Below are 25,586 nucleotides of genomic sequence, written 5' to 3'. Positions count from 1 at the left end.
ACCATCCACCAGATGGGGGGCCAGATGTGCTCTGAACACAGGGACCTCACCCAGGGACTTCCTTTTGCTCTCCCATGCCTGCCAGTGTTTCCCAGCCCTCAGCACATGACCACGCTCCATTTTTCTTTTTTTTTTTTTTTTTTTTTTTGAGACGGAGTCTCGCCCTGTCACCCAGGCTGGAGTGCAATGGCATGACCTGGACTCACCGCAACCTCCACCTCCTGGGTTCAAGTGATCCTCCTGCCTCAGCCTCCCAAATAGCTGGGAATTCAGGTACCCGCCATCATGCCTGGCTAATTTTTGTATTTTTAGTAGAGACAGGGTTTGACCATGTTGGCCAGGCTGGTCTCAAACTCCTGACCTCGAGTGATCCACCTCCCTTGGCCTCTCAAAGTGCTAGGATTACAGGCGTGAGCCACCACGCCCAGCCCCACGGTCCACTTTCTCTCATTTAAAAAGTTTTAAAAGTCCCTTGGCCACACTGGATGACTCACACCTGTAATCCCAGCACTTTGGGAGGCTGAAGCAGGCAGATTGCTTGAGATTAGAGTTTGAGACTAGCCTGGGCAACATGGTAAAACCCAGTCTCTACAAAAATATAAAAATTAGCCAGGCATGGTGTTAGGCACTTGTAATCCCAGCTACTTGGGGGCCAGAAGCGAGAGGATAGCTTGAGCCCAGGAGTTTGAGGCTGCAATGAGCTATGATTGTGCCACTGCACTCCAACCTGGGCAACAGTGAGACCCTGACTCAAGAAAAAAATATATATATATTTTAAAGTCCCTTGTAAGGCCCACGTCCAGCCCCACCCAGCTCTGTCTCTCCCCAGCCAAGGTGCTTCAAAGAGTCATCTACACTTTATTTTTTTTTTTTTGAGACAGTCTCGCTTTGTTACCCACGCTGAAGTACGGTGGTGCGATCTCAGCTCACTGCAACCTCCGACTCCCAGATGTAAGTGATACTCCTGCGTCAGCCTCCTGAGTAGCTGAAATTACAGGCGTTCGCTACCACACCCCTGTAATTTTTGTATTTTTAGTAAAGACAGGGTTTCACCATGTTGCCCAGGCTGGTCTCAAACTCCTGACCTCAGGTGATCCTCCTGCCTCAGCCTCCCAAAGTGCTAGGATTACAGATGTGAGCCACTGCGCCTGGCCAGTTGTCTACAAAGTGCTGGGATTATAGGCGTGAGCCACCGTGCCCAGCCAGTCATCTACACTTCTAATCCCTCACTTTCTCACGACCCACTCTCTCCAAAACTCTCTCCAGCCTGGCTTTTGTCCCCAGTCCTCCCCAGATGGATGGACAGACAGGGGCTGCAGCAACTCTTGTCACTGAATGGTCGCTCCTCCTCCCTGACATGTGGGCCAAGCCACTGTGGAACCTCTTGCGTCAAAGCCCCTGCCCATGACGGTCTCTCTTCCTGCCTCTCTTCCAGAGCCTTCCTCTGAGCTCCTCTTGCCCATCCCTTTCATGTGAGTGGCCCTCAGATCTCATCTCAGACCCTTTCTCGAGGTCCTTTTTTTTTTGAGACAGGGTCTCGCTCTGCTGCTCAGGCTGGAGTGCTGTGGCACAATTTCAGCTCACTGTAACCTCCGCCTCCCAGGTTCAAGTGATTGACCTACCTCAGCCTCCTGGGTAGCTGGGATTACTGGTGCACGCCACCGTGCCCGGCTTATCTTTGTCTTTTTAGTAGAGACAAGGTTTCACCATGTTGGCCAGGCTGGTCTTGACCTTCTGATCTCAAGTGATCCGCCCGCCTCGGCCTCCCAAAGTGCTGGGATTACAGGCATGAGCTGCCGCACCCAGGGCCTCAAGGTCCTCTTTCTGAGCCATTCCTCCACCCTGTGGCTTGACACCATACTCTCCCTGGGTCACCAGCCTCGTCCTCAACAGGGCTCCAGGCCAGCATGTCCGGAACCAGGCTGATACCTCCACCTGGGGACCCACAGGCCCACACACCCCTAAGTCCAGGGCTAACTGATCCCCCAGCCCCGTTGTTCCCCTCATTGAGAGAAGGGCCCTGACGCCTACCAAAGCACCCAGAGAGTGATGCTGGCATCATCGGAGGCTCCGCCCTCCCCCTCCCCTCCACCCTCTGTCCCATTGGTAGACCAAGGCCAATCCACGAGATTCCGACTTCATTCTCTCCCTACTGCCACTGGCTTCACCCTAAACTCACACTATTTGGCCGGGGTATCGTGACATCCACGTCACTAGCTCCTGGGCCCTGCCCCTCCAGCTGGTTCTCCATAGGGAGCCAAAGGCTTGCATGAACTCCTTCTCATGCAAACCTGACCGTGCCCCTCTTTAGCTCAATGCCCTTTGCTGGCTTCCCACTGCCCTCCAGGCCCCGCCGGGCCCTCTGTGGCCTGGTCCTTTCCCACCTTTCCAGCCAGACCTTATGTTCCGTCCAACTCCCCGGGTTCATCACTCCTAACGGTGCCTCACTGATCCTCGCTCCATCTTCTCCCGACCATCACTGCTGCCTGTAATGAACCTTCCTTCACTATTCCACAAACCACCTTGCCAAGTCAAAAGACTCCTCCTTGGTGAAGCTCCCCAGGATCTTTCCCATTCCCGTGGCACCCTTTACTTACCATGCCAGATGCCACCGCTGCCCCACGGTGTCCCCCGCTGCATTGGGACCTCTTTGAGAGCAAGGATGTGCCTGATCCTTCTGCTCTCTCTGCAGGCTTGGAGCAGAGGGAGAGCAAGAATTTACCGAACAAGGCTGGGTGCAGTGGCTCACGCCTGTAATCCCAGCACTGTGGGAGGCCCAGATGGGTGGATCACTTGAGGCCAGGAGTTCGAGACCAGCCTGGCCAACATGGTGAAACCCCGTCTCTACTAAAAATACAAAAAATTAACCAAACGTAGTGGAACGTTCTTGTAATCCCAACTACTCTGGTGGATGAGGCAGGAGAATCGCTTGAGCCCCAGAGGCGGAGGTTACGGTGAGCCGAGATCTCGCCACTGCACTCCAGCCTGGGTGACAGAGTGAGACCCTGTCTCAAAAAAAAAAAAAAGAAAAAAAAGGAAAGAGTTTACTGAACAAATGAAAGAATGCATGAATAATGAATGAATGATTCCCTGAGGGTCGTAGTCCTCTCTCTCGGGACCCTCCTGAAATGGTGCCATCTGAGTCCAGGCTGCACTCCCAGCCCTGGGCCCTAGCAGGTCCAAGTTCTCAATGTTTCTGAGCACTGGTAAGTGTGGAAAACTTTTGCTCCTCCAGGATTCTTAACTCCATGGGAGAGGGCAGGGTGGGTGAGGGCCTGGGAGCCAGGAGGGCTGGCAGCCGAGGGAGGGGAGGAGGAGTAGTCAGGGGACCAGACACTTGGCTGTGTCTCTGGGGGCAGCAGGGTCTTGGAGCCCAGGGAGGGGCATGAGACCTACCTTCTCACCCTGAGCCAGGCCTGCCCTGGAAGCCCAGGCCAGGAAACCAGGGAGTAAGGAAGCCAGGGGAGAGACGGAGTTTGTGCAACAGTATTCAACGTGTTTGCAATAAAGGGGAAATGGAAAAAATGTTAATTTACTTTTGATGGTGCCCTGGGGGGTGGAAACATACATGACTGTGAAGTCTCCAATTGCCACCCATTCAGCCCGGCTCTGGACACTCAAGGGAGGGAGGGAATGTGAGGGTGAAGGGTGAGATGTTCCAAATACCCTGTCCCCGAATCTCCCCCTTACACCCTGTCACTGTGCCAAATGCTCTGTCCATGAAGAAGCCCGCTCAGGGCTTCTAGAACGACGTGCCTTTCAGCTGAGTGAAGGCCACGGGACCAGCCGGCTCACTGCTTTTTTCCCCCGCTAGGAGGGCCTGGGCCTCTAGAAAAGATCCCCAGCAGGGAGGTGCCAGCCCCTTCCGGCATGGGGGGCCTTGAGCCTGGTATTACCTGAAACTCCCATGATCCTTGCCTCAGCCCTCAAGCCTGGGGGGTAGGGTCCAGCCAGGATGTAGGTGCCAGGAGCCAGCTGACTTCTCAGCAGCTGTGTGGACTCTGTGGAATCACTTCCTTTTTTGGAGTCTCCATGTCCTCCTTGGGAATGTGGAGGTTCCTTAGGAGGGAGTTCCCATCCTAGGCTCAGGGGGATGTAGGACATCAGTGCTTGGCTGCAGAGAGGGGTGGGTGGGAGCTTTAGGTGGGAGGCGGGTGGGGAAGGGATGACCAGGGCCTCTGACTCCCCAGTCCCACCACTTAGAACTGGAGGGGCTGGACTGCTCGGCCCCAGATCTCAGGATTGTTGACCTTCCTGTGCAATCTCTGCCCATCCCTTTACCTGTCACTTTTGGAGAGGTGACGGCAGGAACACAGTCCCTCAGCTCCTTCATGGTGATGGTTTTGGGTGGGAACAGCTGGCAGGGCCACTGTGCCTTGGAGCCACCCCAGCTGCCCCCACCTCACACCAATATCACTCAATGCACTCGCTGAGGTTCTTCTTACCTTAAGACAATGCTGTAGGTGCAGAACTTTTACATGGGAGGAGATGCCAGGAAGCATGGGTAAGAGAGGGAGGCAGGGAAAGGAAAAAAAGCCAACAAAGAAAGGGTCCGCTAATGAGCAGCAGAGGCCCAGTGCCCAAGGGACCTTCCGAAACAGCACTGCCCAGTTGAACTTTCTGTGATGATGAAACTTCTTAATCTGCCAATGCAGATTGTTCAGTATGGCAGCCGGTAGAGCTACCGAGTGCTAGAAATGTAACTAGTGCAACTGCAGAAATGAAACAAATTTATACACTTTTATTTATTTATTTATTTGTTTGTTTGTTTGTTTTTTAAGAAAACAGGGTCTTGCTTTGTCGCTCAAGCTGGAGTGCAGTGGCACCATCATGGCTCACTGCAGTCTCAACCTCCTGGCCTCAAGTGATCCTCTCACCTCAGCCTCCACAGTAGCTGGGACTACAGATGCGTGCCAGCACACTTTACTAATTTTTTTTTTTAATTTTGTAGAAATGGGATCTTGCTACATTGCTCAGGCTGGTCTTGATCTCCTGGGCTCAAGTGATCCTCCCGCCTCAGTCTCCCAAAGTGTTGGGATTACAGGTGTGAGCCACGGTGCCAAGCCTTAGCTTAGCCTGTCTTAAACATGCTCAGAACACTTACATTAGCCTTCAGTTTGGCAAAATTATTGAACACAAACCCTATTTTGTAATAAAATGTTGAATTTCTCATGTAATTTATTGGATACGCTACTGAAATTGAAAAACAGGAGGGTTTTATGGGTACTTGAAGTACAGTTTCTACTGAATGCATATTGCTTTTGTTCTATCATAAAGTTGAAAAAATCCCAAGTCAAACCATTGTAAGTCACAGACCATGTGTATATGTTTTTTGGGTCCAATTTTTTTCACTCAGCATATTTTTTGACACTCATTCATGATTCTACATATATTTTGTTCTGAGTACTATCCCACTATATGGATATACCATCATTTATTTTCCACTCTTCTGGGTACAGACATCTGGGCTGTGTACAGTTTTGTACTTTTAGGAATAAAGCTGCTTTGAATACTTGTGTTCAAGTCTTTGTGTAGATGTATATTTTTAATTTCTCTTGAGTAAATGCCTAGGAATATATAGAATTATGTACGGTATGGGAGGTGTACAACTAACTCTTTAAGAAACTGTCAAACTGTCTGTCAGTGTGGTTGCTACTAGTTTACAGTTCCACCAACAATATATGAGACTTTTCACTAATCCATATCCTCTGCAACATTTGGTGTTGTCATTTTCTTTTTGTTTTTTTGAGATGGAGGCTCGCTTTGTCGTCCAGGCTGGAGTGCAGTGGCACGATCACGGCTCACTGCAACCCCTGCCTCCCCGGTTCCGGCGATTCTCATGCCCCAGCCTCCGAAGCAGCTGGGATTATAGGCGCTCCCCACCACACTCGGCTAATTTTTTTTTTTTGTATTTTTAGTAGAGACAGAGTTTCACCATGTTGGCCAGGCTGGTCTCCAACCCCTGATCTCAAGTGACCCACCTTCCTCAGCCTCCCAAAGTGCTGGAATTTTAGGGGTGAGGCACCGCACCTGGCCTTATACAATCCTTTTAATAACATTCTAAGTTCAATTTGGCAGTGTTTTCTCTTTTTGTAAATTTAATTTTTTAAAATATTTATTTATTTATTTTATAAGATGATGTCTTGCTCTGTCACCCAGGCTGCAGTGCAGAGATGCAATCATGGCCCACTGCAGCCTCAACTTCCCAGATCCTTTCACCTCAGCCTCCCAAGTAGCTGGAACCACAGGCATGTAACACCACACCCAGCTAATTTTTGTATTTTAGGTAGAGATGGGGTTTCACTATGTTGCCCAGGCTGGTCTTGAACTCTTGAGCTCAAGTGATCCACCTGCCTTGGCCTCCCAAAGTGCTGGGATTACCAGCATGAGCCACTGTGACCAGCCAGTTTGGCAGTGTTTACTTAAGAATTTTTTATCAGGCCGGGCGCGATGGCTCACGCCTGTAATCCCAGCACTTTGGGAGGCCAAGGCAGGTGGATCACGAGGTCAGGAGTTCAAGACCAGCCTGGCCAAGACGGTGAAACCCCATCTCTACTAAAAATACAAAAATTAGCCGGGTGTGGTGGCACTTGCCTATAATCCCAGCTACTTGGGAGGCTGAGGCAGAGAACTGGTTGAACCTGGGAGGCAGAGGTTGCAGTGAGCCAAGATCGCACCACTGCACTCCAGCCTGGGCGACACAGCGAGACTCCGTCTCAAAAAAAAAAAAAAAAAAAGAATTTTTTATCAATGTTTATAAACAATATTGATCAGTTGTTTTCTTGTAGTGCCTTTGTCTGGCTCTAGTTATCAATGCAATGCTGGCCTCATAGAATGAGTTAGAAAGTATTTCCTCCTCTTCAAGTTTTTGAAAGAGTTTGCAAAAAACTGGCATTAATTTTCCTTTAAATGTCTGGTAGAAGTCACTGGTAAAGCCACCCAGTGAGGGGTATTTCTTTGTTGGGAGGATTTTAATTAGCAATTTAATCTTCTTACTAGTTATAGGTTTACCCCTATTTTCTTTTTTTTTTTTTTGAGACGAAGTCTTGCTCTCATCCCCCAGGCTGGAGTGCAATGGTGCAATCTCGGTTCACTGCAACCTCCGCCTCCCGGGTTCAAGTGATTCTCCTGCCTCAGCCTCCGAGTTGCTGGGATTGCAGGTGCCTACCACCATGCCCAACTATTTTTTACATTTTTAGTAGAGACAGGATTTCACCATGTTGGCCAGGCTGGTCTCTAACTCCTGACCTCAGGTGATCTGCCCACCTCGGCCTCCCAAAGTGCTGGGATTATAGGCGTGAGCCACCTTGCCCGGCCAGTTTACCCATATTTTTTATTTATTTGTGATTTAGTCTTGGTAGGTTTTGTGTTTCTAGAGATTTGCCATTTCATTTGGTTATTCAATTTGCTGCTGTACCTATGTTTATAGTATTCTCTTATAATCACTTTAATTACTGTAAAGTTACAGTAATGTCCTCATTTTCATTCTGATTTTGGCTATTTGAGTTTTCTTTTTTTTTTCTTAGTAAATCTAGCTAAAAACTTGTCGATTTTGCTGACCTGTAAAAAAGTTTTAATTCTACCTATTCTCTTCTTTTCCTATTCTTTATTTATTTTCACTGTAATCTTTGTTTCCCGTATTCTGCTAGCTTGGGTTTAGCTCTTCTTTTCTAGATCCTTTAAAGTGTATAGTTAGGTGACTGATTTGAGAGCTTTCTTTTAATTTTTATTTTTATTTATTTTTTGAGATGGAGTCTCACTCTGTCACCCAGGCTGGAATGCAGTGGTGCAATCTCGGCTCACTGCAACCTCCCTCTCCCAGGTTCAAGGAATTCTCCTGCCCCAGCCTCCCAAGTAGCTGGGATTACAGGCCTGCACCACCATGCCTGGCTAATTTTTGTATTTTTAGTAGCAATGGGCTTTTGCCATGTTGGTTAGACTGGTCTTGAACTCCTGACCTCAGGTGATCCTCCCGCTTCGGCCTCCCAAAATGCTGGGATGTTGACATGAGCCACCACTCCTGGCTTTCTTATTTTTAAAGGTAGATGCTTACAGCTATACATTTCCCTCTGAGCACTGCTTTAACTGCATCCCATAAATTCTGGTATGTTGTGTTTTCATTTTTATTCATCTCAAAGTGTTTTCTAATTTCCTGTATGATTTCATCTTCAACCAGTGATTGTTTAAGAGTGTGTTTACTTTCCATATATTTGTGAGTTTTCGAGTTTTGCTGGTTACTGATGTCTAGTTTCATTCCATGACGATTATAAAATACTTAGCACTTTGGATACTTTCAATCTTTTAAAACATTAATACTTGTTTTGCAGCCTAATACACTATATACTCTGGACAATGTCCCACATGCTCTTGAAAAGAATGTGTATTTTGCTGTTGTTGGGTGGGTATCTGTAAATGTCCATTAGATCTAGTTGGATTATCATGTTGTTCAAGTGCTCTCTTTCCTATTGATCTGGTCTCTGATTGTTATAAAGTTGAGGTAGTGAGGTCACCAATGATCACTGTGAAACTCTTCTTTTCCCTTCAATTCTACCCTTTCTTGCTTCATATGTTTTGGTGCTCTGTTGTTAGGTGCATATATGTTTAAATTGTTATATCTTCTTGTTGGATTAAACTTTTCATCAGTATAGAATTCCCTTGTCTCTCATAACCATTGTTGGCTTAAAACCTATTTTGCCTAACATATGGCCACTCCTGATGTCATTTGGTTACTTTTTTTTTTTTTTTTTTTTTTGACACAGAGTTTCACTCTTGTTGCCCAGGCTGGAGTGCAATAACACGATCTCAGCTCACTGCAACCTCTGCCTCCTGGGTTCAAGCGATTCTCCTGCCTCAGCCTACCGTGTAGCTGGGATTACAGGCATGCACCACCACGCCTGGCTAATTTTGTATTTTTAGTACAGACAGGGTTTCTCCATGTTGGTCAGGCTGGTCTTGAACTCCCGACCTCAAGGGATCTGCCCGCCTCAGCCTCCCAGAGTGCTGGGATTACAGGCATGAGTCACTAAGCCTGGCCTCATTTGGTTACTTTTTGCATGGAATTCATTTCTTCATTCTTTTGTTTTCAATCTCATTGTGTCTTTGTATCTAAAGTAAGTCTGTATTTATAGACAGTATATAGATGGATCATGTTTTATTTTATTTAACTAATTTTTTTACATTTCCCAAGGCTCTGTCATCCACCTATTCATTTAATACATTCTACCAATCTCTCCTGGGCTCAAGAGATCCTCCCACCTCAACTGCCTGAGTAGCTTGGACTGCAGGAACATGCCACCACTCATAGCCTATATTCTTCTTCTTCTTTTCTTTTTTCTTTCTTTTTTTTTTTTTTTTGGCTTAAACAACAGAAATTTACTTCTCTTGGTTATGGAGTCTGGAAATCCAAGATAAGGGCTGGGCGCGGTGGCTCATGCCTGCAATCTCAGCACTCTGGGAGGCCGAGGAGGATGGATCACCTCAGTTCAGGAGTTTGAGACTGACCTGGCCAACAAGGCAAAACCCCATCTCTACTAAAAATACAAAAACTTAGCAAGGCATGGTGGTGCATGCCTGTAATCCCACCTACTGGGGGGCCGAGGCAGGAGGACTGCTTGAACTTGGGAGGCAGAGGTTGCAGTGAGCCAAGATCGAGCAACTGCACTCCAGCCTGAGCAACAGAGCAAGACTCCGTCTCAAAAAAAGAAAAAAAAAAAAAAAAAAAAAAGCCGGGCGTGGTGGCTCGTAATCTCAGCACTTTGGGAGGCTGAGGCTGGCAGATCACGAGGTCAGGAGATCGAGACCATCCTGGCTAACACAGTGAAACCCCGTCTCTACTAAAAATATAAAAAATTTGCCAGGCGTGGTGGTGGGTGCCTGTACTCCCAGCTACTCGGGAGGCTGAGGCAGGAGAATGGCTTGAACCCGGGAGGCGGAGCTTGCAGTGAGCCGAGATCGCGCCACTGCACTATAGCCTGGGCAACAGGGGAAGACTCCATCTCAAAAAAAAAAAGAAAAAGAAAAAAAAGTTCTACTATAAATAAAAATTAGACTTCCTATCCCACTGACAGTCACTTCATTGAAAACAGGAATTTCACAGGAAACTTGAAAACAGCACCAAAAACTATAATGTTTTCCTACAGCATTTTAGGAGCTTTATCCAACATCAAACAAATAAACATAAGTTAAATAGTATTAAATAGGATAGCTGTTGTTTCACATGTTTACGTATTATAACAACAGTCTAGATTATTTAAACTCACTTCAGCCATGTGAAATAACACACGTTTCTACAGTGCTCTATGATAAAAGTGTATATTTAATAAGATTTTCAAAATGTTCGGCCTGTACTATGAAACTTCTTTTTATGGAGACAGGGTATCACTCTGTCACGCAGGCTGTAGTGCAGTGGCTTGATCACAGCTCACTGCAGCCTGGAACTTCCGGACTCAAGCGATCCTCCCACTTTGGCCTCCGAAAGCACTGGTATTATAGGCATAAGCCACTGCACCAGCCTGAAACTTTTGGTTTTAGTGTGATCACTTTTTTTTTTTTTTTTTTGAGACAGAGTCTCACTTTGTTGCCCAGGATGGAGTGCAGTGGCACAATCTCGGCTCATTGCAACCTCCACCTACTGGGTTCAAGAGATTCTTGTGCCTCAGACTCCCGAGTAGCTGAGATCACAGGCACACACCACCATGCCTGGCTAAGTTTTCTGTATTTTAGTAGAGACGGGGTTTCGCAGTCTTGATCCAGGCTGGTCTCTAACTCCTGGCCTTAAGTGATCTGCCCACCTCAGCTTCCCAAAGTGTTGGGATTACAGGCGTGAGCCACCGCACCTGGCCTATAATGCGGTAACTTCACTGATGGGCTAAGAAGCCACTTGGTACCATTTCTATTCTGAGTCACAGGTGTTAGGTTTACACAGGTATTTCCTACATTTGAGGGATAGGTCATCTCTGCTAGAGATGTTTGCTCTGCAGCCAATAAAACCCCACGTGCCAGAAATTAAACTCACACAGTCAAGACTGAAATTCTATGTCTCTAGCCAGAGACTGACATAGGTAAACAGAATCTTAGTTGTATATGTAGACATCACAATGAGTAAGTACTGGTAACATTTTGTTCACTGAAAACCAGCAACAAAAATCAAAGAAATCAATGAATTTATTCTTATCAAATCAGTTAAATACTCATTAAACACTTGTGTGCCCAACTGGGGTTGAGAATGCAAAAACAGAAATGAGTGCAGAATTCCTGTTTACAAATTAGCTGGGTCAGACATCCTTACAGAAAGAAACAACCAGGAAATGAGTATACATTCACTTCAAGAATCTTTTCTTTTTTTTTGTAGAGATGCAGTCTTGCTATGTTGCCCAGGCTGGTCTCCAACTCCTAGCCTCAAGTGATTCTCCCACCTTGGCCTCCGAAAGTGCTGGGATTACAGGCGTGAGCCAACATGCCTGGCCTCACTTCAAACATCTAAAGAGCAGAGAAGATTAAAATACAAGACAGAAGTAATTAGCTGGGCATGGTGGCGAGTGCCTATATTCCCAGGTACTCAGAAGGCTGAGGCAGGCGAATCACTTGAACCCAGGAGGTGGAGGTTGTAGTGGCCAAGATCAAACCACTGCACTCTAGCCCAGCGACAGAGCAAGACTCCATCTCAAAAAAAAAAAAAAAAAAAAGCAAATAATCCAGCACTATACTGAAAACATTTGTCCTTATCAGCTATATAGCAGCCTGTACGTAAGAGCTACATAAAATTCCATTTTAAGGCCGGGTGCAGTGGCTCATGTTTGTAATCCCAACACTTTGGGAGTCCAAGGCTAGAGAATCACTTGAGGCCAGGGGTTGGAGACCACCCTGGGAAACATATAGGGATTCCATCTCTACAAAAAAATTTAGGCCAGATACAGTGGCTCACGCCTGTAATCCCAACACTTTGGAAGGCCGAAGCGGGCAGACCACGAGGTCAGGAGATCGAGACCATCCTGGCTAACATGGTGAAACCCCCGTCCCTACTAAAAATACAAAAAATTAGCCAGGCATGGTGGCGGGTGCCTGCAGTCCCAGCTACTCGGGAGACTGAAGCAGGAGAATGGCATGAACCCTGGAGGCGGAGCTTGCAGTGAGCCAAGATCAGGCCACTGCACTCCAGCCTGGCTGACAGAGTGAGACTCAGTATCAAAAACAAACAAACAAAAAATTTAGCCAATCAGGCTAAATTACTAGGTGGGAAGCCTGTGTTCCCAGCTACTTGGGAGGCTGAGACAAGAGAATCACTTAAGCCTGGGTGGTAGAGGTTGCAGTTAGCTGTGTTCCTGCCATTGCATTCCAACCTGGACGACAGATAGAGACCTTTTCTTGTTTTTGTTTTGTTTTGTTTTGTTTTGTTTGAGACGAAGTCTTGCACTGTTGCCCAGGCTGGAGTGCACTGGTGCAACCTCGGTTCAGACAACCTCCGCCTCCTGGGTTCAAGTAATTCTCCTGCCTCAGCCTCCTGAGTAGCTAGGATTACAGGTAGGCGCCATCATGCCCATCTAATTTTTGTGTTTTTAGTAGAGACGGGGTTTCACCATGTTGGTCAGGCTGGTCTTGAACTCCTGACCTCGTGATCCAACCGCCTCGGCCTCCCAAAGTGCTGGGATTACAGGCATAAGCCACCGCAGCTAGCCAGGGAGACCCATTTTAACCACATAAGGACCCAGCTAAAAACCCTTCCCTGGTTCTGTCACCATCAGATTAAAGCCTAAGCTCCTGTATCTCTGTCCTGTACTTTTTCTCTTTAATAACCACCCTCCAGGCTCGGGAGCCGATGCCTGTAATTTCAGCACATTGGGACACTTGAGGCGGGAGAATGGCTTGAGTCCAGGAATTCAAGACCAGCGTGGGCAACGCAGCAAGACAACATCTTTACAAAATCTTTAAAAATCAGCTGGGTGTGGCGGCACCCATTTGCAGTCTCAGCTACTCGGGAGGTTGAGGTGGGAGGTTCACTTGAGCCCAGGCAGTTGAGACTTCAGTGACTCGTGATCGTGTCACTGTACTCCAGCCTGGGTGACAAAGTGAGACCCTCTCTCTCAATAAATAAATAAATAAATAAATAAATAAGCACCTCCTTGTAGTTACTGGCCTCCCCTCCTTTGGTTCCCCCCTCTCCCTCACTCCACCCTGTTAGTCTGAATGTTACTCATTCTTCAAGACACATGCAGAAAGTATTCCCCGATCCCTTCCAGGCTCCACACCCAACAGCATGGCCTAAATGCCCGGCTCCTTCCTCGGTGCTCCATCTTAGCTCACACTCCTTACCACACTGTTCTGAAAGTATCTTGACTGTCCCTTCTCCTCAACTGGCTAACTTCTAGAGAGCAGAAACTGACTGATTGGAAAGGTCATTAAATATTCATATCCTGAACATTTCTTAATCTTGAGGATATGAATCAGTAACTCTTAAAAGCAAAATGTTATTTATCATTAAATGTTAACAATATAATCACATCTTCTTGCATCTCTGGCAAGTTTCCTGGTACAACAATTTTAAGGAACAGACTAACAGCAGTTAAAGCCGCGCAATGGCTCACGTCTCTAATCCCAGCACTCTGGGAGGCCGAGGCGGGAGGATCGCTTAAGGCCAGGAGTTTGACACCTGCCTGGGTAACATTGTGAGATCCCATCTCGAAAAAAATAATAAGGAAAAACAAAGCAGTTTTAGATTTAGAGAGGGGAAAGTAGCTCTCCAAGCCAAAAACCAACTCCCAAGGTGCTCCGGTAAACTCGTCCTGGGAAAATTTCCTATTTAATCTCAAAGGCAAAACGAGCCCACGGACGCCCACGACACATTTCCCAACCACAAGGATTGGTCACTCGCGCTGAGACACCGCCAGCTGCCTATGACCTAGCCTCCAAAGCGGCAGAGTCCTTCCCTCTCTCTCCCTAAACTGCCGTGATGGGCATCCCCCGGCTCTCCTCCCAGACGGTTCGGAAATAGGGACTTCTGCTCCTAACCCCGGCCCCGCAGCCTCGCCCTCAGCCACGGGGTGGAAGTCAGGACCATAGGCTTCAAATCCCCTCCCAACTCCGGGACGCTTCTGTCCCCCCAGGGCGACGCGGGATCAAATCCCGGCGCCCTGCCGCGGCCGGGGGCTGTGGTCTGGGTCCGAGCGTCCCATCCCGGCGCGTTCCGGGGAGGTCCTGGGATGGGTCCCGCGCGACCACAGATGTTGCTTCGGAGCCAGCATCCTGGACGGGGAAGTGGGAGCCGGACCGAGGGGAGCCGCCGGACAGGGAGGCGGCCAGGAAGTGATCCAGGTCAGGCCGTCGGGGCACGGCCGGGCGCTGGAGATGCCGGCAACGAGCACGTTGGACGGAGAGGCCGCGCACTGTGAGGATTAAGGGAACCGAGGGCGGCCTGAAACGGGGCAGGCGGCGCTGACGGGGCCAGAATATGGGAAGAAGGACAGCGGGAGGCACCGACGCGCAACTGTCCCGGCCGCGCGGACGTCACGGACCAACAGCCCCGCCACCCCCGGCCCAAGATGCCCCGCCGCGCAGCTCTTAGCCCCAGTCCGTCCACTCCGTACCTCGCCCGCGTGTCCGCTGGCGTCCGAGCCGCAGCTCGCCCGCGTCTGCGCCGTGGTCCAGGTCACCGCTCGCCCACGTCGCTCGGCAGGTCTGGGTTCCCCAGTCCGCTCCAGCCTCACACACACCCCCTGCTTGCCCCGCCCCCCCGGCACCGCCAGCGCACGCCCGTAACGCACGGCGCGCAAACATCACTTCCGGGGCCTTTGGCTGATGACGGGAGGAAGTGCGAGCGGGATCCAAAGGCTTACACAGAGTAGGGTGCCGCTCTGACGCCCAAGAGCAAATAGAAGAGGGTAGCCTCCGCGCTAAAGCTGGGGCGCTGGGGAGCCCCGGAGAAACCAACGTTTCCTAGTCTGTGGCTCAGTCCCTACTTCCGGCTCCCGATGCGCAGCAGCGGGAGGGCGACGCCGGCACCGCGGCGACTCCTGGAGCCGAGGCCACGGTGGAAGCGCGAATGGGAGGTGGAGCGGAGCCACTGCGCCGAGGGACGCTTCAGAAACTCTGTTTCAGTCCTTCGCGGATCCTAGGATGTGACAGGTGTTCGAGTTAAAGGGTCTTAAGCCAATCGTTTGATCCAAAAGCAGCTGAATCTTTAGGAGGCCCAGGCAGGAGGATCGCTTGAGGCCAGGAGTTCGAGACCACCCTGGGCCACAGAGGGAGAGCCCCCATCTCTACAAAAGAAATTTTACAAATCAGCCGGGCATGATGGCGGGCACCTGTGGTCCCAACTACTGGGGAGGCTGAGGTGGGAGGATCGCTTGATAGCCCAGGAAGTTGAGGGTGCAGAGATCCCTCCACTGAACTCCAGCCCGGGTGACAGAGCAGAGCGAGACCCTGTCTCAAAAAGAAAAAAAAAAAAAAAAAGCGTAACTGAGACCCAGAAGTGAAATAATTAACCAGTGTCACAAAGTATGAATGGTTGAGTCACAAATTGGATACTGTTTACTTTCTTTATGTGATTCCCATGTAAGGAATATTAAAAACAGTAGCTACATGCTGATTGCTCTGAGTCCTGGATGCCATCTATGGTGAAAGGTGCAGTCACAGAAAGAAAGAAAAGAAAATACAATGCTGTGGCTCTTAGATAGACCTGGGTTGGAATCCCAGCTTTGCTAATTGTCGCTGTGGTGTTCTTGGACAGGTTGCCCAATTTTTCAGTCTTCTTTTTTTCTTTTTTGAGACAGTCGCGCTCTGTCACCCAGAGTGGAGTGCAGTGGTGTGATCTCGGCTCACTGCAAACTCCGCCTCCTAGGTTCAAGCGATTCTCCCACCTCAGCCTCTCGAGTAGCCGGAATTATAGGCGCCCGCCACCATGCCCAGCTAATTTTTTCGTATTTTTAGTCGAGACGGGGTTTCACCATGTTGGCCAGGCTGGTTTGGAATCGTGACCTCAAGTGATCCGCCCGCCTTGGCCTTCCAAAGTGCTAGGATTACAGGTGTGAGCCTCCGCACCCGGCTAATTTTTGTATTTTTACTAGAGACAGGGTTTCATCATATTGGCCAGTCTAGTCTAGTACTCCTGACCTCAAATCATCCACCTGCCTTGGTCTCCCAAAATGCTGGGATTACAGGCGTGAGCCACCGCGCCCGGCCCTAATTTCTGTTCTTGCTCATTATTGGTAAAGTGGAGATTAATTGATTCGTTTCTCAAATTCTTCCTAGGTGCCTAATGTGTGCTAGGCTGAGGGTACAACAGAGTATAAAACAAAAGTATGGCTGGGTGCGGTGGCTCACGCCTGTAATCCCAGCACTTTGGGAGGCAGAGGCGGGCGGATCACCTGAGGTCAGTAGTTAGAGACCAGCAGAACCAACAGAGAGAAACCCTGTCTCTACTAAAAATACAAAATTAGCTGGGCGTGGTGGCACATGCCTGTAATCCCAGCTACTTGGGAGGTTGAGGCAGGAGAATCACTTGAACCCAGGAAACAGGTTGCAGTGAGCCGAGATCACGACATTGCACTCCAGCTTGGGCAACAAGAGCGAAACTCTGTCTCAAAAAAAAAAAATGAGAAAACAAACACAAAGTACCTGTGCTGAGGAGGTGGAGGAGCCAATAAACAATAAATTTAAAGTAGTACATTACATGGTGATAATTGCTATTACCAAAAGACAATAATATTTACTTTAAAGATCTTAACTGACTTGTGATCATAGAATCAGGCAACACACCATTCTCTAAACCATTCTGTGAAACAGAATGAGTGTTTCCTCTTTTTTTGAGATATGGTCTCACTGTTGCCCAGGCTGGAGCACAGTATTGCAATCTCAGCACACTCCTGCCTCCAACTCCCTGGCTAAAGTGATCCTTTTGCCTCAGCCTCCCCAGTAGCTGGGATGGTAGGTGTGTGCCACCACACTCAGCTAGTTTTTGGGGTAGAGCTAGTTTTTTTTGTAGAGACAAGGTTTTGCCATGTCGCCCTGGCTGGTCTCGAAGTCCTGGACTCAAGCAATCTGCCAACCCTGGCCTCCCAAAGTGCTGGGATTACAGGCATGAGTTTAGGCCCCTGGCCCCACAATGAGCGTTCAATAAGCTGAGCAGAAGAGGTTGGTTTTAAAGACAGAAAAGGCCTGAGGAAAGCAGTAACAAAAAGTGGGTATCATTTCAAAGTTTCCTTGTGAAGGTTAAGACAAAGAGGACTGGCTGGGTGTGGTGGCTCACACCTGTAATCCCAGCACTTTGGGAGGCCGAGGCGGGCTGATCACCTGAGGTCAGGAGTTTGAGACCAGCCTGGGCAACCCCACCTCTGGTGGTGAAACCCCACCTCTACTAAAAATACAAACATTAGCCAGGCGTGGTGGCCTATACCTGTAGTCCCAGCTACTCTGGAGGCCAAAGTGGTAGGATCACATGAGCCTGGGGGGTTGAGGCTGCAGTGAGCCGTGATCATGCCACTGCACTCCAGCCTGGGTGACAGAGCAAGACCCTGTCTCAAAAAGAAAAAAAAACTGCAACCAAGAAGCTTGCAGCTTTAAAATAGACAGGAGTGGCCTCGTGAGGTGACCTGAATAAAAGATGAGGGAGCCAGCTGTGCTCCTATGCAAATATCTGGGCAAGAATGTTCCAGGCACCGAACAGATAGAGGGAAGACCCTTCTGACACCGCTAACCTGTTTAGCAGTAGCAGAGTGAATGAGGGGATGTAGAAGAGGTCAAAAGGCAAAGCAAAAGCCAAACCAACGTCAATATGGGAGGGAACTAGCAAGAGCACGGATGCTGGAAAGTCTGACTTACTGGGACATTAATGGAAACATCTATCACACATGACTTTATGATTCCACTGCTAATTTTGATGTTGGTTATTGGTTTAGAGGAGGGATTCTTTATCATGCCACGTGAGTACTTTCTTGTTTAACTCAGGAATGAAAACGTGGTTACCATCTTTACCTGTAATTCTGTGAAAACACTGACTACCTCAGTATTAAAATGACTGTTAATCTAGGTGTGTTTATGAATTTCCTTTGTCCATGCTTGCCAGCAGTTATTACAATGTCTGAGTTTCCCTGTGGGAGGACTGCCTGGGGCCAGGAGTTTGAAACCAGCCCGGGCAACATGGTGAGACCTCATCTCTACAGCAAATAAAAATAAAATAAATAAAATGTCTGAGTTTCCACATTGCCACATTGTCTTGTCTCTTCATCCCTCTCCCTCCCTGGGTCCACTGGATTACCTTTTCTTTTTTTTTTTTTTTTTTTTGAGACGGACTCTCACTCTGTCACCCAGGCTAGAGTGCAGTGGCGCCATCTCGGCTCACTGCAAGCTCCGCTTCCTGGGTTCTCGCCATTCTCCTGCCTCAGCCTCCAGAGTAGCTGGGACTACAGGCGCCTGCCACCACGCCCGGCTAATTTTTTGTATTTTTAGTAGAAACAGGGTTTCACCGTGTTAGCCAGGATGGTCTCAATCTCCTGACCTCGTGATCCGCCCACCTCGGCCTCCCAAAGTGCTGGAATTACAGGCGTGAGCCACCGCGCCCGGCCTACTGGATTACCTTTTCTCTTCTCCCCAAATATTTTGGTCTAAAAATACCAGCAGGATGGGAGGGGCAGGGGAAAGAGAATTGCCTTGAGGAAGAAGGCATCTCATGGGTAGATGGAGAATGCAAGGGCCATACCTTTTTCTGTGGGCTATTAGATGTTGAGACTAAATTTTATGAACTTGCTTAGTAGCATGGATTTTCCTTTGTAGGTTTCTTTTTTTTTTCGAGACAGGGTCTTTGTCACCCAGACTGGAGTGCAGTGTCACAATCTTGGCTCACTACAGCTTCAACCTCCCAGGTTCAAGAGATGTCTTGCCTCAGCCCCCCAAGTAGCTGGGACTACAGGTGCACGCCACCACGCCTGGCTAATTTTTGTATTTTTCATAGAGACAAGGTTTTGCCATGTTGCCAGGCTGGTCTCAAACTCCTGGACTCAAACAATCCACCAGCTTCAGCCTCCCAAAGTGCTTGAGCCACCAAACCCGGCATTCCTTTGTAGATTTCTTTTTTTTTTTTTTTTTTTGAGACGGAGTCTTGCTTTGTCACCCAGGCTGGAGTGCAGTGGCGTGATCTCAGCTCACTGCATTCTCCCCCTCCCGGGTTCACGCCATTCTCCTGCCTCAGCCTCCCGAGTAGCTGGGACTACAGGCACCCGCCACCAAGCCCAGCTAATTTTTTGTATTTTTAGTAGAGACAGGGTTTCACCATGTTAGCCAGGATGGTCTCGATCTCCTGACCTTGTGATCCGCCCGCCTCGGCCTCCCAAAGTGCTGGGATTACAGGCTTGAGCCACCATGCCCAGCCTGTAGATTTCTATAAACAGAGAAAAGTACCATCAGGTTGGTACTTGTCTTGTTTCTGATTTCTTATTTTTTATAGAGATAGGGGTCTCACTTTGTTGTCTAAGCTGGTCTCAAACTTATGGCCTCAAGTTATCCTCCTACCTTTGTTTCCGGCCTTAGTGGAAAAGCTTCTAGTTTTTCACCATTGAGTATGATGTTAACTGTAGATTTTTCAGGCGTGGCCTTTATCATGTTGAGGAAGTTACATGCTATTCCTAGTTTGTTAGATTTCTTTTTATCACAAGAGTATTAAATTTTTAAATTAGATTTGTATTGTGGTAAAATGTACATGACATAAAATTTAATGTAAAAGAATGAAGTTAGATCCTTACCTATCACCATCTACAAAACTTAATTCAAAAATAAATCAAAAACCTAAATGTAAGCATGAAAAATACAAAACTCTTAGAAGAAAACCTGGAGGTAAAGCTTCATGACTTTGGATTTGGCAATGATTTCTTGGCTATGAAACCAAACGGACAGGCAATAAAAGAAAATAGACAAGTTGGACTTCATCAGTAGTTTTTTAACTTTTGTGCATCAAGGGACACTATTCACGGACCAGGTGTGATGGCTTATGCCGCTAATCCCAGCACTTTGACAGGCGGAGGTGGGAGCTAGGCTTGAAGCCAGGAGTTTGAAACCAGCCTGGGCAACATAGTGAGAACCCCCTCCATGCAAACAATTTTTTAAAAACTTAGCTGGGCATGGTGGAGCTTGCCAGCTACTTGGGAGGCTGAGGTGGCAGAATCGCTTGAGCCCAGCAGTTCCAGGTTGCAGTGAGCTAGGATTACACCACTGCACTCCAGCCTGGGCGACAGAATGAGACCCTGTCTCAGAATAAAAAGGCAATCCCCAGAATGGGGGAGAGAGAATACAGTTCACCCTTGAACAACACAGGTCCGAACTGCGTAGGTCCACTCATACATGGATTTATTTAACCAAATACGGATTGAAAATACATTATTTGCCCAATGTGAAACCCACATATGTGGAGGGCTAACTTTTTATAAGCAGGGGTTCTGCAGGGCTGACTGCAGGACTTGAATATGCTTGAGTATGTGAGGATTTTGGTATATGTGGGCATCCTGGAACAAATCCTCTGTGTATACCGACAGATGATTCTATTTGCAAATCAAGTATATATATATATATTTTTTGAAACGAAGTCTCGCTCTGTCACCCAGGCTGGAGTGATGTGGCACAATCTTGGCTCACTGCAACCTCTGCCTCCTGGGTTCAAGCAATTCACGGGCCACCACTCCTGGCTAATTTTTGTATTTTTAGTGGAGATGAGGTTTTGCCATGTTGGCCAGGCTGGTCTCAAACTCGTGACCTCAATGATCTGTCTGCCACGGCCTCCCAAAGTGCTGGGATTAGAGGCTTGAGCCACCATGCCTGGCCTGAAAATCACATATTTGATAAGGGATTGTTATCCAGGATATATCGAGAGCTCTTAAAACTTAACTAATTAACAACCCAAGTTACATGACATGTCTTTCCATTTATTTGTCTTCTTTGATTACTTTCAGCAATGGTTTGCAGTTTTCAGTGTAGAAGTCTTTGACCTCCTTGGTTAAATTTACCCTAAAGTATTTTATACTTTTTCATGCTGTCATACATGAAATGTTCTTAATTTCCCTTTTGGGATGTTCACTGTTTGTGTGCAAAAATGCAACTAATTTTTGTGTGTGTTGATTTTGCATCCTATTACATTGCTGAATTTATTAGTTCTAACAGTTTTCGTCTATGCTGGATCCTTACGGTTTTCTACACATAAGACCACATCGTTCATGAAAAATTTTATTTCTTCCTTTCCGATCTGAATCTTTTAAATTTGTCTTGCTGAATTGTCCTGACTAGAACTTCCAATGCTATGTTGAATAAAATTGGCACAAATTGGTATCCTTGTCTTGTTCATGATTTTAATGGAAAAGCTTCCAGTCTTTCACCACTGAGTATATTAGCTGTGGGGAGTTTTTTGGGGTTTTTTTTGTTTGTTTCTTTTTTTTGAGACAAAGTCTCACTCCTGTCCCCCAGGCTGGAGTGCGATGGTGTGATCTTGGCTCACTGCAACCTCCGCCTCCCAGGTTCAAGCGATTCTCCTGCCTCGGCCCCCCGAATAGCTGGGATGACAGGCTCCTGCCACCACGCCTGGCTAATTTTTGTATTTTTAGCAGAGACAGAGTTTCACCATCTTGGCCAGGCTGGTCTCGAAACCAGACTGCCAGCTGTGTTACACTGGGTAAATAAACTTAACCTCTCCATGCCTCAATTTCCCTGTCTGTAAAATTGGAGAAAATAATAAAACCTCATAATGTATTAGGGAATTAAGTGATTAGAAAATCGCTGGCACAGAGTAGGGCTTCAATAAGTGTTATTAGTTGTTATCAGTAGGCAACTATAATTACTATTATTAGGTATAATATTAGGTATATGTAAGTGTAATGGAAAAATATGACATCTAGCCCTTTATATATATATATATATAGTTTTATAATTGAGGTGAAATAGTCAACAAATATACACATATTAACTGTACAGTTCAATTTTTATAAGTATGAATATTCCCGTCCAACCACCACCTAGATCAAGATGAAACTTTTCCATTCCTTAAGGTTCCTCATGTCACTTCCCAGTTAATCCCTACGGAAGCAACCACTCTAACTTCTCCTAGATCAGTAAAGATGAGTTTTGCCTTTTCTTGAAATTTATATAAATAGAATTATATAGTATGTTCTCTTTTGTACTTGGCTTCTTTCCTTCAACATGTTTTTGAAATTTATCCACCATATTGTGTGTACCAGTAGTTTGTTTTTATTATTTATTATTATTTATTATGTAAGTATACCCTTGCATGAATACCTGTTGTCTTGTTGATGGACATTCGGGTTGTTTCCAGTTTTGGGCTATTATGAGTAAAGCTGGGATGAACATTCCTATGTAAGACCTTTAGGACGGGCGCAGTGGCTCACACCTGTGATCCCAGCTCTTTCGGAGGCCGAAGTGGGTGGATCACCTGAGCTCAGGAGTTCAAGACCAGCCTAGCCAAAACGGTGAAACTCCATCTCTACTTAAAAAAAAAATCAGCCAGGTGTGGTGGTGGGTGCCTGTAATCCCATCTACTCAGGAGGCTGAGGCAGGGGAACTGCTTCAACCTGGGAAGTGGAAGTTGCAGTGAGCTGAGATCATACCACTACACTCCAGTCTGGGTGACAGTGTGAGACTCCATCACAAAAAAAAAAAAAAAGCCTTTAGTGGACACAAGCACAAATTTCTTCCGAGTAAGTACTAGGCGTAGAATAGTTCAGTCATAGGGTAAGCGCGTGGTTAACAAAGTGGTTGCAGCATTTTACATTCCCAACAGCAATGCAGAAGAGTTCTAGGTGTTCCCCATCCTTGCCACTAGTATTATTCTGTAGCTATGCAGAGCAGGTAAAATGCCTAACCATAATATCTGAACGAACTCGTTCCAGGGCTGAATAAAATCACATATTGCATTTTCTTAAAATAAAAATTCAGTCCTTCTAATTCACTTTTCAGATTTTTTTTCTTCTTTTTTAAGAGATAGGATCTCGTTCTGTCACCCAGGCTGGAGGGCAGTGGTGCAATCATAGCTCACTGCAGCCTCTAACTCCTGGGCTCAAGTGTCCTCTTGCCTCAGCCTCCCGAATAACTGGGACCATAGGTGCAAGCCACCAGCTTTTTAGATTATTTAGTGCTCAGAGTAATCAGATACATCACCCGTACGTGCGGAAGACAGTGAGTAAACCCCAAGATAATGCTGCTACCTCAATAACAGCTTAGTCTATGACCTAATACAACACCAGCTAACACTCGCTAAGTATTACTCCATGCCAGCCACTATTCATGGGTTATCCCATGTAATCCTCTCAATGACATTGGGGGTGTGTGCTATCTTATCTCTATGTCATAAATGAGGCTCAAGTGGGGCCCAGACAGGTTCAGGAACATGCTTGCTCAAGTAGCCACCGCTGCCAGAGGCTCAGATCCAGCCATGACTGACTCTACACCCACATCCACGATGGTCCAGCTTCAGCAGAAGCATTTAGACCAGAGTGCAGCAAGCTAATGACAATGGGGAACGACCCCAGATTGAGGCCCAAGCAGCCTTCACGGTGGATGCTAGGGATACATAAGCTGTATAGTAAGAAATGCACCCTACGAAATGCCCTGAACCACCTATTTTATCTGAGTCATTCAACAACTTCATCTGCTGCTGATGAATCATAGGTCACAGGAGCTCATCAGCCAAAGTAAGAATGTCGCCATCTCCTGCTTTCTGCCATGCCCTTGCCTGGCGCTGTCACTCTCTAGCTGTGGCCACCTGAGCATGGGCACATCCACCTCAAGTCAAACCCAGAGCCCCTCCCCAAAATCCCTTCTAGATCTTCAGCACACCTTGGTGAGCTCTGAAAAACAAAACCCTGGGGCAAGGCCCAGCTAAGGGTGCTGTGGGAGCTGCTAGCTGGGGCCGGCACTTTCCTTCCCCAAACAGCCCGCAAACAAACATCTTTTTATAGTTCTGCAGAGCGATGTGACACTTTGTTTTCTCAGCATTGGAGGCAGCTGATAGCCCACTGGGGAAACCCAGATGCTTCCAAGCAAGTTATCTGACCAGGGGCTCCTTTCTGAGAATAAAAATGATCTTTCCCACAATGTGGGCAATCCTTCTTGGAGGCCAGCACAGAGATGTAGTGGTTGGAGAGTTTCTGCCTCCTGGGCACTTGGTTCAAGGTCTCTAGTCATCTCCAATGTCAGACTGAAGGAGCTAAGAGTTCCAGCCACGTACTCTGAAAAGGACATGGCTAGGGGTCACACCAAGGCTCTTTATATAATCCTCTTTGACAAGCCTGTGCAGCAGCTATAATTATTTCTCATTTCACAAACATGGAACCTGAGACATAAAGTCTTTAAATTGTTTACATGTAAGACTGTCAGAAGTCCTTTCTTGGGAAAGGTTTTGTTTTGTTTTTTTGTTTGTTTGTTTGAGATGGAGTCTCGCTCTGTCTCCCAGGCTGGAGTGCAGTGGCACGATCTCGGCTCACTGCAAGCTCCGCCTCCCAGGTTCACACCATTCTCCTGCCTCAGCCTCCTGAGTAGCTGGGACTACAGGTGCCCGCCACCGCGCCCGGCTAATTTTTTTTTTTTTTTTGTATTTTTAGTAGAGATGGGGTTTCACCACGTTAGCCAGGATGGTCTCAATCTCTTGACCTTGTGATCCGCCTGCCTCGGCCTCCCAAAGTGCTGGGATTACAGGCGTGAGCCACCGTGCCCGGCCAGGTTTTTTTTTATTTTTTAACAGACAGAGTCTCAGCCGGACACAGCCTATAATCCCAGCACTTTGGGAGTCTGAGGCAGGAGGATCACTTGAGTCCAGGAGTTCAAGAACATCCTGGCCAACATACTGAAACCTCATTCCTACAAAAAATCAAAAATTAGCCAGGCGTGGTGGTGTGCACCTCTATTCCCAGCTACTTGGGAAGCTGAGGCAGGAGGATTGCTTGCACCTCGGAGGTCAAGGCTGTAGTGAGTTGTGCTCATGCCACTGCACTCAGCTTGGGCAGTGCAGCAAGATGCTGACTCAAAAAAAAAAAAAAAAAAGACAGTCTCACTCTGTTGCCCTGGCTGGAGCACAGTGGTAGGATCATGGCTCACTGCAGACTCCAACTCCTGGGCTCAACCAATCCTCCCACCTCAGCCTCACAAGTAGCTGTGACTATAGATAAGTGCCACCACGCCTGGCTGCTATTTTCCTGTTGTTGACATTGTGTTTTTCCACGTTTTAGTGTTAAGTGACAGGAACAACAGAGGTTTTTTAAAAAAGACTTTCCTTGGCAAAATTAAAGGAGAACAACACTATATCAGTCTTTCATCTTTTTTTTATTGCTTTAAACTACTGAAAGAAGTCTGGTAACCACTGCTACACACCATGCCTCCTTCCCATGGCAAGGCTGAGCCCCGAAATCCAGGTCTAAAGGTACTCTCCATGTTGTTTTAGACTACCCCCCTATGTGGGATTACACTTATTCCTCTCCACACAGATGACAACTTCCTGGTCTCATATTGCGTAGGATAGCCAGGTGTGGTGGCACATGCCTGTAGTCCCAGCTATTCAGGAGGCTGAGGGGAGAAGACTGCTTGAGCCAGGAGTTTAAGGATGCAGTGAG

The 25,586-nt window shown here is 47.4% G+C and overlaps 1 protein-coding gene across 20 annotated transcripts in view, besides 3 other annotated features; it reads right to left on the bottom strand.

Annotated features, from left to right (window-relative positions):
• Positions 1-25,586, bottom strand: part of RABGEF1 (RAB guanine nucleotide exchange factor 1) — a 156,898-nt gene that overhangs the window by 114,627 nt on the left and 16,685 nt on the right. For 11 of the 20 annotated variants that reach the window (NM_001367746.1, NM_001367732.1, NM_001367731.1 and 8 more), the window contains exon 1: positions 14,580-14,672. The exons of 8 other annotated variants lie outside the window; for them this stretch is intronic. The gene's annotated coding sequence lies outside the window, so the exon portion shown is untranslated. Of the gene's footprint in view, positions 1-11,145; positions 11,479-14,579; positions 14,673-25,586 lie in introns of those variants that run through there. One more of the 20 variants, NR_104676.2, reaches the window with a different exon arrangement.
• Positions 3,342-3,842: an enhancer, noted in NCBI's record as "H3K4me1 hESC enhancer chr7:66157983-66158483 (GRCh37/hg19 assembly coordinates)". NCBI's record gives its function as "activates a minimal SCP1, AML or CMV promoter by ChIP-STARR-seq in primed H9 embryonic stem cells {active_cell/tissue: H9 hESC(primed)}" and the evidence as "EXISTENCE:reporter gene assay evidence [ECO:0000049][PMID:30033119]".
• Positions 14,147-14,886: an enhancer, noted in NCBI's record as "H3K27ac-H3K4me1 hESC enhancer chr7:66146939-66147678 (GRCh37/hg19 assembly coordinates)". NCBI's record gives its function as "activates a minimal SCP1, AML or CMV promoter by ChIP-STARR-seq in primed H9 embryonic stem cells {active_cell/tissue: H9 hESC(primed)}" and the evidence as "EXISTENCE:reporter gene assay evidence [ECO:0000049][PMID:30033119]".
• Positions 14,629-14,878: a silencer, noted in NCBI's record as "silent region_18213". NCBI's record gives its function as "represses an Ori minimal core promoter by ATAC-STARR-seq in GM12878 lymphoblastoid cells {active_cell/tissue: GM12878}" and the evidence as "EXISTENCE:reporter gene assay evidence [ECO:0000049][PMID:35858748]".

This window comes from Homo sapiens, chromosome 7, assembly GCF_000001405.40.
Source record: "Homo sapiens chromosome 7, GRCh38.p14 Primary Assembly".
NCBI lineage: Eukaryota > Metazoa > Chordata > Mammalia > Primates > Hominidae > Homo > Homo sapiens.
The sequence above is the reverse complement of the archived record's forward strand: the minus strand, read 5'-3'. Positions and strand labels throughout refer to the sequence as shown.